The 19,130-nt window shown below is 45.8% G+C and overlaps 1 protein-coding gene and 1 long non-coding RNA gene across 2 annotated transcripts in view, besides 1 other annotated feature; one reads left to right on the top strand and one right to left on the bottom strand.

Annotated features, from left to right (window-relative positions):
* Positions 1-9,300, bottom strand: part of DLGAP2-AS1 (DLGAP2 antisense RNA 1) — a 56,156-nt gene extending 46,856 nt beyond the window's left edge. Inside the window, exons 1-3 of the long non-coding RNA NR_103863.1 lie at positions 9,279-9,300; positions 8,010-8,149; positions 7,335-7,529 (exon numbers count right to left, since the gene is read on the bottom strand). This is a non-coding gene — a long non-coding RNA (DLGAP2 antisense RNA 1). The remainder of the gene's footprint in view (positions 1-7,334; positions 7,530-8,009; positions 8,150-9,278) is intronic.
* DLGAP2 (DLG associated protein 2) overlaps positions 1-19,130 on the top strand; it is a 970,849-nt gene that overhangs the window by 874,737 nt on the left and 76,982 nt on the right. The window contains exon 7 of the mRNA NM_001346810.2: positions 14,376-14,523. Coding sequence (NP_001333739.1) covers positions 14,376-14,523 — 148 coding nt within the window. The remainder of the gene's footprint in view (positions 1-14,375; positions 14,524-19,130) is intronic.
* Positions 14,122-15,093: an enhancer, noted in NCBI's record as "H3K4me1 hESC enhancer chr8:1574652-1575623 (GRCh37/hg19 assembly coordinates)". NCBI's record gives its function as "activates a minimal SCP1, AML or CMV promoter by ChIP-STARR-seq in naive H9 embryonic stem cells {active_cell/tissue: H9 hESC(naive)}" and the evidence as "EXISTENCE:reporter gene assay evidence [ECO:0000049][PMID:30033119]".

Below are 19,130 nucleotides of genomic sequence, written 5' to 3' on the forward strand. Positions count from 1 at the left end.
CCTTACACCTTATACAAAAATCAATTCAAGATGGATTAAAGATTTAAACGTTAGACCTAAAACCATAAAAACCCTAGAAGAAAACCTAGGCATTACCATTCAGGACATAGGCATGGGCAAGGACTTCATGTCCAGAACACCAAAAGCAATGGCAACCAAAGCCAAAATTGACAAATGGGATCTAATTAAACTAAAGAGCTTCTGAACAGCAAAAGAAACTACCATCAGAGTGAACAGGCAACCTACAACATGGGAGAAAATTTTCGCAACCTACTCATCTGACAAAGGGCTAATATCCAGAATCTACAATGAACTCAAACAAATTTACAAGAAAAAAACAAACAACCCCATCAAAAAGTGGGAGAAGGACATGAACAGACACTTCTCAAAAGAAGACATTTATGCAGCCAAAAAACACATGAAAAAATGCTCATCATCACTGGCCATCAGAGAAATGCAAATCAAAACCACTATGAGATATCATCTCACACCAGTTAGAATGGCAATCATTAAAAAGTCAGGAAACAACAGGTGCTGGAGAGGATGTGGAGAAATAGGAACACTTTTACACTATTGGTGGGACTGTAAACTAGTTCAACCATTGTGGAAGTCAGTGTGGCGATTCCTCAGGGATCTAGAACTAGAAATACCATTTGACCCAGCCATCCCATTACTGGGTATATACCCAAAGGACTATAAATCATGCTGCTATAAAGACACATGCACACGTATGTTTATTGCGGCATTATTCACAATAGCAAAGACTTGGAACCAAGCCAAATGTCCAACAATGATAGACTGGATTAAGAAAATGTGGCACATATACACCATGGAATACTATGCAGCCATAAAAAATGATGAGTTCATGTCCTTTGTAGGGACATGGATGAAATTGGAAATCATCATTCTCAGTAAACTATTGCAAGAACAAAAAACCAAACACCGCATATTCTCACTCATAGGTGGGAACTGAACAATTAGAACACGTGGACACAGGAAGGGGAACATCACACTCTGGGGACTGTGGTGGGGTGGGGGGAGCGGGGAGGGATAGAATTGGGAGATATACCTAAGGCTAGATGACGAGTTAGTGGGTGCAGCGCACCAGCATGGCACATGTATACATATGTAACTAACCTGCACAATGTGCACATGTACCCTAAAACTTAAAGTATAATAAAAAAAAAAAAAGAAAAGAAAAGAAAATTGACTTCAACTGAAATTTATGCACTGCGCACCCAGCTCCATGAGGACAAGGGCGATGCCTTCATAAATGATGCCCAGAAAGTATTTGATAGATGAGTAACTCATTTTCTAAATTAACATATTTTGGGAGAGTAGTTTAACAGCAGCAGTAAAGCCCTTTTTCGAGAACCTGTTCTGTACTGCTTCGGACAGATGTAGGTCTCCATTCTGAATTCATGTCCACCCTGCATGTTCAGTTCACTCACACTGGCCTCCTCTGTATTCTTTTTGGAAAAATCATAGAGAAAGATTAGCAAATTGAATTTTTTAAAAATAAGCCTCAAAAATGTTGAATGCCAAAGGACTAAATTGCTACCTTCCATTCTAGCTCTATCAACTATTCCCGGTACAAATATGAACAGTAAGGCCAGGCTTTGCAATGCGTGACCTGACAGGTCTCAGACTCGGCGGGGTTTTCAGCGAAAATGGGCCTCAGGAGGCCTTTGGAAGAGCCAGGTGGGGGAGGCTGGTTCACTGCAAGTGTATGCCCTGGCTTCAGCGGTGACTGAGCCCTCGTAGCCCAGGGGACATGGTGGATCATCACATACTTCTCATGGGATCCTTCACAAACCCCACCAGCACCTTCAGCAGATGGAGAAATCAACTCTTCACAGGCAGAAAAAAAACGGATGGCACAGACCTGGGGTCTCCTGAGCATTTGCAGTCAGGCAAGAGAACAGCCGTGGGGCCTCTGCAGCCAGAGGGTGAATCTCACCTCAGAACTGACTCAGTGAACACGGAATTACCAGCCACATTGGCAGAGACCTCACAGTCAGTGCTGCTGGTACCACAGGCAGGACAAGGGGTGCCGAGGTTGGAATATGACCACAGACACCCGGCGGACTGGAGGTGGCCTCTGCCGCAGCTGCCATTGACGGCTTGGACCCCGCTTTGTGTTGCCAGCATCACCTCCAGGTGTGCAGAAAACATGACTTACCGGACGACCTTGTGCCCACACGAGCTCCGGGGACTCTGGGAAAGGAGACCTCCCAGGCGGAGCCCCCTGTGGCACAGCCTCTGCCTCTGCAGTGCTGGGCTCCCCAAACCAACAACTACAGCAGCAGAACTGATATGCAGGTTGGCCAAGCCAAGGACAGTTGCTCACCCTGGCGACACGATTTTTTAAAATGTAATAATGGGGAGTTCTGGCTCTGGGATAATAACTTATATTGAAGAAACACTCATACAGATGACAGCCATGAACTGTGGAGCCCACACACACATGCATTGCACGTGCACACACGTGCACACGCACACACACACACGCATGCCCTCCTGTTTGAAAGCAGAGTTGGGCAGGAAGTAGAGACTATTCACATTTTAAAGGAAAGGCGCCGCGCTCACTCGCGGCTGCCCATGGTCCTGTGAGTTCCCTCTGAGCACCCTCGCTACCTGCTGCAGGAGGGCGGTAGGAACTGAAGCAGACAGCTGCAGTCTCCTTGGATGTGTCTGTTACAGGATGGAATTTGGGGTTGCCAGAAGAGGTGGGGGTCAGAACAGAAGGGATGGAGCCATGGAGGGAGACCCCAAAGTCTATTAACATTTGCGGACCCCTGAAAAAGTTTAGTTTCCAGCTGCTGACCACCGATGGTGAAGATCAGTCTGGAGGCTGAACCCCACCAAGTGCACAGGCCAGGTAAACCATCTGCAGCCTCCCCAGGCCCACCCCAGCAACGCACGAGCCAAACACCCAAAGCTAAGGAGGATCGGCCACAACCAAAATTAGCACACATTGGAGGAGGGAGCAGGTGCCGGGGTCTCTGCCAGTCGTGTCCTTTATGCCGAAAAGAGGCTGAAGTTGTAGCAACATGAAACCCACCTGCAAGGAAAAAACTGATGTGCTCAAAACGAAGCCTGAGAAGACCCCGATGGTAGAACTCACCAGAAAGATCTTTAAACAGCCATTGTAAGGTCTTATGAATGATATAAAAATGTTAGAACTCACCGGAAAGATCTTTAAAGCAGCCATTGTAAGGTCTTATGAATGATACAAAAATGTTAGAATTCACCGGAAAGATCTTTAAACAGCCATTGTAGTCTTATGAATGATATAAAAATGTTAGAACTCACCGGAAAGATCTTTAAACAGCCATTGTAAGGTCTTATGAATGATATAAAAATGTTAGAACTCACCGGAAAGATCTTTAAAGCAGCCATTGTAAGGTCTTATGAATGACATAAAAATATTAGAATTCACCAGAAAGATCTTTAAAGCAGCCATTGTAAGGTCTTATGAATGATATAAAAATGTTAGAACTCACCAGAAAGATCTTTAAACAGCCATTGTAAGGTCTTATGAATGATATAAAAATGTTAGAACTCACCACAAAGATCTTTAAAGCAGCCGTTGTAAGGTCTTATGAATGATATAAAAATGTCTGTTACAAGGTTAAAGATGTTAAAGGAGAAGAAGGTCTTAATGCCTGACTAGATGGAGAAATGAAATCCATGAGAAAGAGACAAATTGAATTTTCAAGAACAGAAAACCACAATATCTGAAATGAAAAATTTATGGGATGTGTTTAAGAGCGAATTGAGAGAGCAGGAAAAAAGCTTAGTAATTTGAAAATGAAACAGTAGATATTCTCAAATATGAAAAAGTAGAGGTAAGATATTAAAAAAAAGAATAGAGCCTCAGTAATATGTGTAGTAAGAAGAAGTGAAGGGACACACATATAATTAGAGAACCAGGGAGAAAACTGAGAGAATTTGGCAGAAGGTTTTGAAGAAAAAATGGCCAAATATTTTACAAATTTGGTTTGAAAGAATCCACAGACCCAAAATGCTCAGTGAACTCTAAGAAGATAAATAGAAAAAAATCATACCTAGCCACAAAATAGTTAAACTGTGGAAAACCAGAGAGAGACAAGTCTGTAAAGCAACCAAGGAAGGGGTCAAACAGAAACCAGAGGAATAATTAGAAAATTATGACTGCCTTATTGTCAGAAGCAATGGGAGCCAGAAGACAATGGAATCATACCTTTAAAGTGATCAAAAACATCTATTGATTCAGAATACTATACCCAGCAAAAATATCTTTTAAAAAATGAGAGCAAAATAAAGACTTTTCAAACAGAAGCTAAGGAATCTATTTTTAACTTAAATACATGTATCCACATGTGGCTACTTTTTTATCTTTCATTTAGTTTCAGGGGTACATGCACAGATTTGTGATTTAGGTAAACTCACGTCATGTGGGGTTTGGTGTACAGATTATTTCGTCATCCAGGTAATAAGCATTGCACCTAATAGGTATTTTTTTCTGATCCTCTCCCTCCTTCTAACCTCCAGGAGGCCCCAGTATGTGTAGTTTTCCTCTCTGTGTCCATGTGTTCTCATCACTTAGCTCCCACTTATAAGGGAGAACATGCAGTATTTGGTTTTCTGTCCCTGTGTTAGTTTGCTAAGGATAATGGCCTCCAGCTCCATCCATGTTGCTGCAAAGGACATGATCTCATTCTTTTTTATGGCTGCATAGTATTCCACGGTGTACATGCACCACATTTTCTTTATCTGTCTACCATTGATGGGCATTTAGGTTGATTCCATGTTTTTGCTATAGTGAATAGTGCTGCAATGAATGTGCATGTGTTTTAATGGTAGAATGAGTTCTCTTCCTTTGTGTGTATACACAATAATGGGATTGCTGGGTCAGATGGTAGTTCTGTTTTTAGTTCTTTGAGGATTTGCCACTCTGCTTTCCCCAATGGTTGAACTAATTTATGCTCCCACCAGCAGTGTATGAGCATTCCCTTTTCTTCACAGCCTCACAGCATCTGTTGTTTGTCCACTTTTTAGTAATAGCCATTCTGATGGGTGTGAGATACTATCTTATTGGGGTTTTGATTTGCATTTCTTTAATGATCCATGATGTTGAGCATTTTTTCATGTGCTTGTTGGCCACATGTATGTCTTCGTTTGAAAAGTGTCTGTTCATGTTCTTTGCCCACATTGTTTTTTGCTTGCAAATTTGTTTAAGTTCCTTATAGATGCTGGGTATTAGACCTTTGTTGGATGCATAGTTTGGAAATATTTTCTCCCATTTTGTACGTTTTCTGTTTACTCTGTCGATAGTTTCTTTTGCTGTGCAGAAGCTCTTAAGTTTAATTAGATCCCATTATCTACCATAATGGACAGCGCACCTCTAGAGCAACCACTCAAATATTAACGCTATGCATTACAGCCAATACGAGCTAAAGCTCAATGTTAAAAATATTTGATTAACCCAAAAGAAAGCAAAAAGAAATCAGAGGAACAAGTATATGAATAGGACATATGGAAAACAACAGTAAAATGGTAGGCTTCAACCCAGTCATAATAATACGTGTACTAAAGTAAGTGGAATAAGTAAGTAAAAGGCTACAGTTCTAACCCTGGGGAAAAAATGTCAACATTAAGGGTGCAACATTTAACTCCCTCCGTAAGATGAGATAAAACACGAGGATGCCGACTCTCAGCTCCTCTACTTAACATTCTAATGGAGGTCCTCGCCAGACACAGAAGGCAAACAAGAAGAGAAAAAGCACGAAATTTAAAAGGAAGGAGCTCCTTCCATGTTTAGGTTCCAGGTTTATTCTTATATCACATGATTGTTTACATAGAAAACCTAAGGAAACTACAAATCAAATCCTGGAACAGATCATGCCATTCATCAAGGCTAGGACATGAATGAAATAGGTAGAAATCAATTGCATTTCTGTAGACCCATAATGAATAATTGGAAAATGCAGTTAGTTTTAAACATCTCAACAGCATTGTAGAATTGTGGTGCTCTAAGATAGACCATCTAAATAAATCGAGAGCTAGACTGTGATGCATTGGAAGTCTCAGTAATGTGAAGATGTGAAATCTCCCCAGACTGAGGTATGGATTCAGTGCAACCTCAGTAGAATCAATGTCATTCAAAGCAACCTCAGTTTTTAGAGAAACTGACAAGAAGATTCTAAAATGTGTGAAAATGTGAAGAACCTAGAAGTGCCAAGACAGTCTTGATAAAAAAGAACACAGTTGGAGGACTCACGCTATCTGATTTCAAGACTTGCGTTAAATCTAATCGGGACAGTGTGATATTCATATAAGAATAGAAAAGGGTCTCTCAGCCTCAGCACTCTTGATATTTGGGGCCAGACAATTGTCTCTCATTGGGGGGATCTCCGTGCACCTTCAGCATTCTTGATATTTGGGGCCAGACGATTCTCTCTTGTTGGGGGCCCTCTGTGCACTGTAGGATCTTTTCATGGCATCTCTGGCACCTGTCCAGTAGACACGAGTAGCACCCTCCTCTAAATTGTGGCAAACTCAAAATATCTCCATACATCACCAGATGTCCCTTGAGGGCCTAATCGCCCCAGATTAAGAACTACTCAAATAGACAAAATAGATCCGTGTGACAGAATAGAGACTCCAGCCGTCAAAATCTTTAAATTCTGTTCATTAAAAGACACAACTAAGAAAATGGAAAGGCAAGCCATAGAATAAGGGAAATGTCTGTCTGACAAAGGGCTTGAATGCAGAATATGTCAAGAACTCCTACAAAACAAGAACGTAAAGACAACCCCAGAAAAATGGGCATAAAAGCCAAAAGGTTACTTTGCAAAAGAAGATACACAAATGTCCAATAAGAATTAGTCATCCAGGAGGTGAAAGTGAAAACTTTATTGGGATACACTTCAATTTCACTAGAATGGCCTAAGTTAAAAAGAATGACAATACAACATGCCCAAGAGGATACGGGTGGAGGCCACAGTCAACATCTGTCAAAACTCACTGAGTCCTACAAGTGAGACCTGTGCCTTTCACTGTCTATCAATTTTCTCTCAATTAATACAATTTAATGGGTATATATTTTTCTGTTTCATTTCTATGTAAGAAAGAAAAATAAATTTTTTGGTAAGTTTACCTTGTTCTTTTAAGAAAAATTTAAACAGTTGAAATATTTTCTTCAGACCAGTTGTTTCTGAGACATCTACCAAATGCTAAAATCTCGAGTCACAATACAGGTCTTGCAAGGACAAGTTAAACATAGTATGTGTTAACATTAAGTAAGTGCTCACCATGTATTATACTTGTATTGCATGTAACATTCTTACCTTATATTCACAGAACTCCATAAGTTATGTCCTGTGACTACTGTCCTCATTGTACGTTGCATAGATTAAGAGATTTGTCCAAATGACACCGTTGGCGAGAGGTTGAGCCAGGATCTCAATGTGGGCTTTCAGGCATCAACACATGTGCTCCACTGTGCATACAAACTGCCTTCTGCGCACCATGTTACTTCCGACCTGTAAAGCACATTTCACGGCCAAGCACACTGTTGGCCTCAGCATAGCGTTTCCTGTAGACAGGAAAAATGATCCCAGGCCCGCCTCTTTGAGTGTCTTTCCCATGGTGTCTTATTTTCACCTTCTAAAAATAAATGTTCACGTTGCTTCATCCCCCCATCCAAGAAAACTCACAGCCTTTCTCAAATCGCCTGTCCTCTCTGCTGTTCCTGACAAGTTGTTCAAAAGTTCCACTCATACTTCCATTTTCTTACCTTAACGTCTGCGATCTCATTTCTGCACCCATATCCACTGAAACTGTCCTTTTTAAAAATGACCCCAGCTTGCTGCATCTGACGGTCTTTCCCCATCTCATTCCACTTGATTTCTCAGCATCTGCTCCGGGGCCGGGCTCCTCCTGTCCCTCGGGTGCCCAGGAGCGTCCCCCGCCCCACGCCCCTCTCACTTTCCTCCTGGATTCCCTTCGTGGCCCCGCCTCACCTGAGAGGCCTCCTCCACCTTTCTGCTGCGTGACACTCACAGCCCGACGTCTTCCACACTTTTACATCTGAAGCACTCAGAGGTTCACAGCCCTGCCCGTCACACTTGCTCTGTTCTTTCACAGACTTCTTGGAAGTGCCCTAGAATCAGCAGGTCCAAATCAAACTCAGGTCCAACCTCCAAAACCTGTTTTTCTTCCTATCATAGATCTTGCCTTTGTTGGGAGAAGTCTAGGCGCCTTGGAATCATCTCACCTCTAACACATTCCTCATTCCTGTGGGCTCTGTCCCTAAAATCCAAGCCCTTTGGTGTCTCATGAGAAACCAGCTCAAGTCTGCAGGAGCCTCTCGGGGTCTGTGTCCAGGACACCACTTCCTGCATTCAGGCACCTCGTCCTCCAGGCCCCACGCACAGGGACCGTCCTGAGCTCCCAGCTCACAAGTCCCTGATTAAGAACTTGCAGTACTTTTCTTTTGCCTGTGGCATAAACATCAAGCTGTCTGGGGTGTCCCTCACAGTTTCCCACTCTGCTTCCCCAAACTTCTCTCCCAGAATGCCTTTCCCCCTTTACCCTCTGCTCTCCAGACAAACAATGCTCACTCCCCGCCTCCCAGCTGGCACACACTCTACATTTCCTTTTAGCATTTTGCATTAAGAAATCTATGTTCCAGTCTTTGTCCCCAACACACTGTCAACTACACGAGTGCTACGCTTGCCATCTTGCAGAAGGCCTTTCTTGCACTTCCAAGCACCCAGACTTACGTGGGAGGTGCCTTATTAAGATGCCTTCTCCTCGTGTTCTGTTTGGGAAGCCTTTGGTGGCACATCCTTCAAACCTGCCCAGTCCTGGTTATAGCAAAGGACGGGTAGAGCCAAGTGGACGAGAGCCGGAGGTGGTTGGTCCGGCTGGGTCAGGGTCAGCTGCACTGGGACCAGGGCAGAGGAGAGCCAGAGGAGGTTGTCCACACTGGGTTGGGGTCAGCTACACGAGGACCAGGGCAAAGGAGGTTGTCATGGCTGGGTCACTGTTAGCTGCACTGGGACCAGGGCAGAGGAGAGCCAGAAGAGGTTGTCCACACCGGGTTGGGGTCAGCCCCGTTGGGACCCAAGCCAGCGTCATGCATCTGAGCATGCTGGCTCTCACTCTCAGCTGGCCGTGGGTCAGCCATTGCAGCCCCACCTGCCACGGGCTCCAGGAAGAGCAGTCATCAGTATGGAGAAGGCCGGACTCTGCTCAGAAGCCACTGAGCAGGTGCTCCATAGACTCACCAGCTGGAGCGGGGTCACATCTCGGAGGCACCGTCAGCACCAGGAGGGCAGCCAAGCAAGGGTATGGCATTTCCGAGCCTCTGCGGTCAAGGGTATCGCATTTCCGAGCCTCTGCGGTCAAGGGTATGGCGTTTCCGAGCCTCTGCGGTCAAGGGTATGGCGTTTCCGAGCCTCTGCAGTCAAGAGCCCAGAGATGGGTTGTCGGGGCAGCTGTGGGGGCATCCCAGATGTGGGTGCCAACAGTGAGATGCAAATGTGGATTTCCCTCAAAAATGTGCTGTTAGGGAACAAGCATGCCTTCATCTCCTGCAAGGGCACAGAAAGCTCAAGAACACTTTTTACCCTGAATGTGGAAATGATCTGGAAAGAAGCCATTTTCTGAAATCCAGTCATTAATTGTGATATTATTTGAAATGTATACTGAAAGGTGTTCTAAGAATTTCCATTTTGCAGGTGGAATAATACACACATGTGCACGCACAGCACACGCACGCGTGTGCACACGAATGTCTGTTTCACTAGCACTGTTTAGCGTGCTCCATTTTCCATTGAATGCAGTGGAAGAAACACTTCTTATATTTGGGAGCTTCTCCTGTCAGATCCCATTTATAGAAATGAGAAGATGATCTCTGTATTTCAAATGAACACATTTAGTATGGAAAAAAATTTTCTTAAATATCTCCTTAGCACAACCTGCATAGAATCCTTACTGCTTTCCAAGGTAACAAGGGAGATGGTTTACGTTGTGTATTTTCAAGCATGTTTAGATGGATCTAAACAGCTGGGGTCAGAGGCCCTTTCAGGGGTACCCTTTGTTATGTATATTCGTTCTCATAATGACCTAAGTCACAGAGGAGGTTCTGAGCCCAGGATTCAGCAAGCAGCTCTGGAACCATTCGCAAAGGGCGAGAACAAGGTTGAACACCAGGAATCCTGCAGTTCTGTCTTGGGGTTATGGATTCACTTGCACAGCTTTCCGTCTCGCCTGTTTGTGGATGACAATCTAAGGGGAGCAACATCTGAAAGGCAAAACTAGAACAAAAACATTTCTGTGTTATTCTAGAAAACTTTTCACTATTTAAAAAAAAATTCTGAGCTACTAAGTCCATATAGCAAAATATGTTTCCATTTCTGACACCTGGGATGCCGCAGGAATTACCACTTAGAGAGATAACCAAAGGGGCTGAAAGTCAACTTCAAAATGCCCCGGGATGTAGGAGGGGGATTTTCAGGGGGAAGAGTCAGGTGGATTTTGTGGAGTGAGCCGTGCTGGGGACTTCACCCTGTGTCACCTGGCGGGGCCACCGGAGGGTGCATCCCCCCATCTTGATTGGCTCCCCCTAGTCCTAGTTCTTGAGTTTTGATCTGTGACTGTGAGGAACCTGGCCTTCTGGGACTCTATATGATAAAATGCTAAGCCATTATAATATTTTTTAAAAAGCCTCTTAAGCCAAATGAGGCTGAGGTTTTATTTGTTATTTTTTAACTATTTAAAAAGTCTGTGGTATCAGAGGATGGGATCTTTGGCTCTGTGGTCCTATGACTCAGCATCTTGAGTGCTTAAAATCCCAGTGACCTTGGGATTTTAAAGCATGAATTCCAGAGCCAGGCCACCTGGACTCAGAAGGGAGTGCTGCCCCCATCCCGCCCAAGCCTGAGTGCATGACCTGGCACCAGTGTGTGATGACCTGGCACCAGTGTGTGAAGACCTGTGCGTGATGACCTGGAACCAGTGCGTGATGACCTGACACCAGTGTGTGATGACCTGGCACCAGTGCTTGATGACCTGACACCAGTGCATCATGACCTGACACCAGCGCGCAATGACCTGACACCAGTGCACGATGACCTGGCACCAGTGCGTGATGACCTGACACCAGTGCGTCATGACCTGACACCAGTGCGTGATAACCTGGCACCAGTGCGTGATGACCTGACACCAGTGTGTGATGACCTGGCACCAGTGTGCGATGACGTGGCCCCAGTGTGCCATGACCTGGCACCAGTGTGTGATGACCTGACACCAGTGTGTGATGACCTGGCACCAGTGCACAATGACCTTGCAGCAATGTGCGTCTGATGCTGCATTCATAGGAGGAAGGTTGGGAAGAGGCCTGGTTTATAGGACTAATGTAAACATTAAATGTGTTAGGACAATGCAAAACACTTATTAGCATTTCTGGCGTAATCTTGCATAGAAAATGTTAGCTATTGTGAGTCTATGTTTTAAAAAAAATTATTAGCTTTCTTCAGCGGCAACATTTATGTGTCACACTCCATTTTGAAATAAAGAGAATCATTGAGAGAATATGTATTTGAAACATAGACTCACAAAATACATGGATCCACCTGTGAGGGCTGTCCAGCAGCCACTGCCAGAGTGATGAGCCATGGCTCAGAGGTGATCCCTTCGTTCACGTAGCAGGCACTGGTTAGAAACTGTGGACACCAGATCCAGAGGACGAGAATCCTTCTTTTATGTTTTCTCAGTCTAGAAGGCAGCTTCAATTTGAGAATGTTAAAATGCAAAACGGTGGTGTTAATCAGAAGGAACGGCTGTTGTATTGGAAGAAAATTGGTAATTGGTAGAAAGTGCCGATTGGTAGAAATGGAGGGTATGAAACCAGCAATCTCAAGGAAGCATGGAAGGAGAGCAGAAGTGCGGGAAGTTTACATTTCTGCAAAGACAAAGGTGAGTCAAGTTAAGAGCCTCAGTCAGGGCTCTTGGCATCCACCTGAGGCCACACTGCTCGGGCTCCATAGCTCGGGGCTTCGTCCGCTGCACATGACTCTGTATTAAACACGCACAGGCACGTGGACACATTCAAAGGAAGCCAGCAGTGGTCTCTTACAGAATGAGTCCACGCATCCATCAACCTGAGCCTGAAACTTGTGACCGTGTCTCAGGATGCTGTTGACATTTTGCCGCTCTGTTGAACCCATGCTTTCAGGGTGGTGACAGCCAAGGTCAGGGATCCGTGTTAGCTCGCCTTCTGTTCACTGGCAGTCGACCTGGGGGATCCACAGAGGAGGGGAGGGGACAGGGCCCCTGCTGGTGCTGGTGCCGGTCCCCACATCTGCAGCAGAGCTGCCCGTCCCACTGCCCAGGTGCAGCGGGAGTCGGCGGGCATCGATGTGAAGACTGTGTGCTTCATACCCAGTAAAATTAGAATCAGCTCAAAACTAATTTCCTCCCTTTGCTTTCTCTCTCTCTCTCTCTCTCTCTGTCTCTCTCTCTCTCTCTTTCCTTTTTTTGGTCTAAGTCAGGGAGGGGAAGGTAGGTAGGAGCTGCTATATGTTATACATTTTCTTTTAAAGCAAAAATATTTAGCAGAAAGAATGACTTTAAATCTATAATGAATAAGCTTCACTTAATAAGAATTCATTGAGTCCAGTTTTTTTTCTCTGATATTCCATTTTTAAAGACTGAAGTAAATCAGAGAAAAACCACACCAAGGGTTTACTTTGAAAAGAAAGTGTGTGCTTTAATGCCCAACTCTGGAGTCAGAATCGTCCACCTAACATCTATAGACATTTTTATGTACCTGCTTGTGCACTGATATTTAATGTTCCTATTATCATCCAAAACAGGCAAGAAGAATAATTAATCATTTCTGTCCACATTTCTACAGCTTTTGATAAAATAAAATGAATTTTACTGCACTGTGGAAAGATTGTCAATAAAACTGGAAAGTGGTCCAGTTAGCCAGAAGTTTAAGCTAAGCCAGACCTTTCATCGGCCAAACACTCACAGGGTTCTTCCATGCTTTTAACATTTCACAAAACGGCGAGAAGGAAGACCAGAGAACATTGATTTATTTTAAGGGAGTTTGGAAGAAAACGACCGTTGTGCTTATAAAATGGTTTTCATTTAGCCTACTCCTCCTATTATATTTGCTGATATTGCATAACCTGGACAACTTTGCATAAGTTAAAACTGAAAGTGAGCCTTGTATTTTTTCTGTTATTTTTTAAATATGTAAAGTTGCCAGAGAGCCAATAATTTTTATGAGACTCTCAGTTTTTTGGCTTAAATTCAGGAGCTGAGTTTGCTATTATGCTGTGTGAGTTACTAGTGCTTACAGCACTTTTTTAAAAATATGGAATGACCCAAATTTCACTACCTGGCCATAAAATCTCAGGTTTCAAAGGCAATTTTGTAAATAGCCTCCCCTATTACTTTTGATGAAATTCACATTCATAAATATGAATCTCAGAATATTTGCATATGGCAAAGTTACTCATCAAGACACAGACATTCAGTTGGAAATGTGATGCTAGCCTCTGGGTGTGGATTGGACGGTCGTTCCCATCTCTGGCCTGTGGCGGGTGCTCAGCCTCTGGGTGTGGGTTGGACGGCTGTTCCCATCTCTACCCTGTGGCGGGTGCTCAGCCTCTGGGTGTGGGTTGGATGGCTTTCCCATCTCTGGCCTGTGGCGGGTGCTCAGCCTCTGGGTGTGGGTTGGACGGCTGTTCCCACCTCTGCCCTGTGGCGGGTGCTCAGCCTCTGGGTGTGGGTTGGACGGCTGTTCCCATCTCTACCCTGTGGCGGGTGCTCAGCCTCTGGGTGTGGGTTGGACGGCTGTTCCCATCTCTACCCTGCAGCGGGTGCTCACCCTCTGGGTGTGGGTTGGACGGCTGTTCCCATCTCTGCCCTGTGGTGGGTGCTCAGCCTCTGGGTGTGGGTTGGACGGCTGTTCCCATCTCTACCCTGCAGCAGGTGCTCAGCCTCTGGGTGTGGGTTGGACGGCTGTTCCCATCTCTACCCTGCAGCGGGTGCTCACCCTCTGGGTGTGGGTTGGACGGCTGTTCCCATCTGTACCCTGTGGTGGGTGCTCAGCCTCTGGGTGTGGGTTGGACGGTCGTTCCCATCTCTACCCTGCAGCAGGTGCTCAGCCTCTGGGTGTGGGTTGGACGGCTGTTCCCATCTCTACCCTGCAGCAGGTGCTCAGCCTCTGGGTGTGGGTTGGACGGTCGTTCCCACCTCTGCCCTGTGGTGGGTGCTCAGCCTCTGGGTGTGGGTTGGATGGTCATTCCCACCTCTGCCCTGCAGCGGGTGCTCACAGAATGCCTTTTCTCCTTTCTTCTTTCCTGTAGCCAGACCTACCTGCAAGCTGCAAGCGATGTGCCTGTGGGACACAGCCTGGACCCCGCTGCGAACTACAACTCCCCGAAATTCCGCTCCCGGAACCAGAGCTACATGAGGGCCGTCAGCACCCTGAGCCAGGCCAGCTGCGTGAGCCAGGTCAGGGTCCCTTCGCCCTTTCTCCCTGGGGTCCAGTCTCCCCAGCCAGGCTGGCACGGAGGCCCCGGCCGCATAGGTGGCGATGGCGCTGCCCTCCTGGTCAGCAGCACTTGGGCAAGGCTACACCAAAGGGGGTTCCCCTGGAATTAGCTCTGGCTGATTAGACTCGTGGACTTACTGTTATATTTTTGACGTGTATAACTCCATATCATTTTTGCGTTGATTTTTTTCTGAGGAAGCAATGACCAAAAGGGTGGTCATCCTGGCCTCTCTTGTTGATAAAGCACAGGCTGTCTTCCTTCTTCCCAGGCTATTTTTCCAGTAAAAGGGGGCCAGGGAAAGGCTCTGGCAGCATGGCTCTCAGCTCTGTCCTCTGAATTGTGCCTCAGAAAGTCCTGTGAGAGGATAGCCTGGTGTCGCTCACAGAGTCCTGCCGGTCGGCCCCACTCCCAGGGCAGGACTGATTTCGGGACAGGCACAGTGGCCAGGAGAAGGGTCCCTGGGCACCACGGGAGGGGTGGTATTAAAATCAGGTGCCTGAGACACGGGGGCTGTGAAAGGGAGGCCCCCCTGCTCCCCACCTGTGGTGGACGGGCCTGAGAACGCACAGTGAAAAAATCGGCAAGTGTCCTTCAGTCTAATCATCCTATATTACATGGCAAAGAAGAATCGAAAGTTTATCATTTTAATTAAGCACGTTGCTTACTCACTTAAATGCCTTTGAAAACAGTGCTTGAGCTGACCTTGAGTTTGTATACCTAACAAACATTTTCTCTTAGTGTGGAGTAGGGATTAAGAGCCTGAGCCGACCTCACATTCTCTCTGACTTACTGTGGAGTAGGGATTAAGATCTTGAGCCGACCTCACATTCTCTCTGACTTACTGTGGAGCAGGGATTAAGAGCCTGAGCCGACCTCACATTCTCTCTGACTTACTGTGGAGCAGGGATTAAGAGCCTGAGCCGACCTCACATTCTGTCTGACTTACTGTGGAGCAGGAATTAAGAGCTTGAGCCGACCTCACATTCTTTCTGACTTACTGTGGAGCAGGGATTAAGAGCCTGAGCTGACCTCACATTCTCTCTGACTTACTGTGGAGCAGGGATTAAGAGCTTGAGCCGACCTCACATTCTGTCTGACTTACTGTGGAGCAGGGATTAAGAGCTTGAGCCAACCTCACATTCTCTCTGACTTACTGTGGAGCAGGAATTAAGAGCTTGAGCCGACCTCACATTCTGTCTGACTTACTGTGGAGCAGGAATTAAGAGCCTGAGCTGACCTCACATTCTCTCTGACTTACTGTGGAGCAGGAATTAAGAGCCTGAGCTGACCTCACATTCTTTCTGACTTACTGTGGAGCAGGGATTAAGAGCCTGAGCTGACCTCACATTCTCTCTGACTTACTGTGGAGCAGGAATTAAGAGCTTGAGCCGAGCTCACATTCTCTCTGACTTACTGTGGAGCAGGGATTAAGAGCTTGAGCCAACCTCACATTCTCTCTGACTTACTGTGGAGCAGGAATTAAGAGCTTGAGCCGACCTCACATTCTGTCTGACTTACTGTGGAGCAGGAATTAAGAGCCTGAGCTGACCTCACATTCTCTCTGACTTACTGTGGAGCAGGAATTAAGAGCCTGAGCTGACCTCACATTCTGTCTGACTTACTGTGGAGCAGGGATTAAGAGCTTGAGCCGACCTCACATTCTCTCTGACTTACTGTGGAGCAGGAATTAAGAGCTTGAGCCGACCTCACATTCTGTCTGACTTACTGTGGAGCAGGAATTAAGAGCCTGAGCTGACCTCACATTCTCTCTGACTTACTGTGGAGCAGGAATTAAGAGCCTGAGCTGACCTCACATTCTCTCTGACTTACTGTGGAGCAGGGATTAAGAGCCTGAGCGCAGGGATTAAGAGCCTGAGCCGACCTCACATTCTCTCTGACTTACTGTGGAGTAGGGATTATTCTGGGCTTCTGGGCCAAGGCCTGGGCTTTCTGTGCCCTCCCATTATGCAGTTATCGGCGTGACAATGGAAGTACACAGTCAATTTTAGATGCTATTAGGCAAAGAGTCCAGCATATACTGAGCACTCAAAAATGATAGCCCTTATTATTACCATGATAACAATAAGTAATACTATATAATTCTGGGCACTAAAGCCCTCCTGGCTGCAGATCATGCTGTGAGCTCTTGGTAGCTTGCCTGGGGCTCAGTAAGCACAAGTCTTTCTTTTGCCGCAGACTTTAAATTCCTCATGAGGTAGAGTCTATTCATTTTGCAGGTTTTTTCCTCATCGGAAGGTTGTACCCAGGACTTTTTCCACTGAACTATTGAGGCTTTTCCTATTGCACAACTCAAGAAGGATACCACCTCTTTTATCTACTCGGTTACTTCTTTCCTTCCAGAAATGGAATTAAGTTCTCATCTGCATCAGGAATTGCATTGACTCTTTTTCCCAATGACAAGGAAAGACCGTCCCTAGCCCTGCGCTCAAGTCCTGGGCAAATGGGAATGGTGGGTCCTCCAGCCCCCTGCTCCCAGCCAGCCCCCTGCAAACAATAACATCAACTGATCCTCCCCAACTAGATAATTGTAATTATTTTAATAACTGAGGAAACATTCTATTTCAGCATAAAGTCCAAGATGATATGGGGAGACACTAATTAACTAAACAGAGTAACTGAAAGTCAGTGATACATTTTAACAACTTGCTCCATACACAGAGATGAGGATACAGCAGACTTTCTTCTTTTAAAGCTATCACCTTCCCTTTCAGTGGATATAACCTAGTTTACCAAAATACAGCTTTAAAAATCCGATGTAACCCAACAAAAGGTTTAAACAGAAGTGCAAAGTTATCTCATCCGAGGTGTGAACGTTCATCTCTAATACTTTTCCACAAACAACTTTCAATTAAATGGATCTCACACCTCTTTAAATGCTCTTATGAAACATTCAGAGGCTCTTTGCGACTCGTCGTCCTGTTTGGGGGTAAATGTAAGCTAAATATACTAGTTCTCTCGTCATCTTGCTTTTGATGAACCCAAGATGGTATCTACCAAAATAAGTCAGTGAAAATAACATTTTCTCACATCTTTGTCTATCTGAAAGGATTCATCATTGGAAACAATGGTTAAGCAGACAAGTTGGGTGCTTGGGGGTTTATTTAACGACCTTGAAATTTAGAATTCTAAGTCATTCCTATGCAGAGTTCTATGGCATTACTTTAAATTGAACTCAGTTTTGAATTCTCAGGAAAAAAAAAAGTGTTATTCAAAATAATCCTGGAATGCTGGTAGTAAGTGAGACTGTATCACACCCAGAAACAAACGTAGTAGGTGAGAAGACTGTGTCACACCCAGAAACAAACTTCCACTAATTGATTGTCCAGCCCTAGGCCACGAGACCTGACAATTCTGGAAGGAAGGGGACAGTGCCCATGGTTGAGGGTGGGACATCTGGAATTACTAACACTTAGGGGCTCTGGAGAGATGTGAATTTGGTGACAAACCAAAGTTTGTTGAAAGTTTGCCCTTGGCCAGTCGCGGTGGCTCACGCCTGTAATCCCAGCACTTTGGGAGGCCGAGGTGGGTGGATCACGAGGTCAGGAGATCGAGACCATCCTGGCTAACATGGTGAAACCTCGTCTCTACTAAAAATACAAAAAATTAGCTGGGCATGGTAGCGGGCACCTGTGGTCCCAGCTACTCGGGAGGCCGAGGCAGGAGAATGGCGTGAATCCGGGAGGTGGAGCTTGCAGTGAGCCGAGATCACGCCACTGCACTCCAGCCTGGGCGACAGAGCGAGACTCCATCTCGAAAAAAAAAAAAAAGTTTGCCCTTCATGTTTAACATTCAATTTTTTCTCAAGCACAGGAAGGGAATTAAAAATCTAACTGAAGTCTTGTGAGAGGTGCTTATGTCCATGCCGTTTCCTCCTTGGAACCTCAGTAGCTGCACTCTGCTTGGGTTTCCTGCAGCTCATGTCCCGAGGGTCTCGGCGGGAGGTCCGGGTGTCCCGAGGGTCTGGGCGGGAGGTCCGGGTGTCCCGAGGGTCTCGGCGGGAGGTCCCAGTGTCCCGAGGGTCTCGGCGGGAGGTCCGGGTGTCCCGAGGGTCTCGGCGGGAGGTCCGGGTGTCCCGAGGGTCTGGGCGGGAGGTCCGGGTGCCCCAAGGGTCTGGGCGGGAGGTCCGGGTGAACAGATCATTTTAATTCCCTGCTGGACCATCTTGAGATGCTGCTCAACCACTTTTTATTTGTTTTGGGGAGGAGGAGTCACCTTCATGTCTAGAACCTCACTGAAAGGCTTGTAGCTGGAAGCATAGCCGAGGGTCCTTGCTGAGATGCCAGCTTCTGTTTGTGAAATGCACATACCAGGTTAATGGTGTCTCTTCTTTAGGAGCGAGGGCAGCTGGGCCCTGGGTCGGGCTTACAGAAGGGTGTCCACTGAGGTGTACTAGGGCCTCACACAGGTTCTGACCTTCTCACGCTGTCTACGATACATCTTTGACAGGAATGACACAATCTAAGACTTTTCCATAAAATTCTACATAAGTGAAAACTTACATTGGAAGAAATTTATGGTCCAGAAAAACATCCTGTTTCCAAGCCA

The sequence above is a fragment of the Homo sapiens genome, chromosome 8, assembly GCF_000001405.40.
Source record: "Homo sapiens chromosome 8, GRCh38.p14 Primary Assembly".
In the NCBI taxonomy this organism is placed as follows: domain Eukaryota; kingdom Metazoa; phylum Chordata; class Mammalia; order Primates; family Hominidae; genus Homo; species Homo sapiens.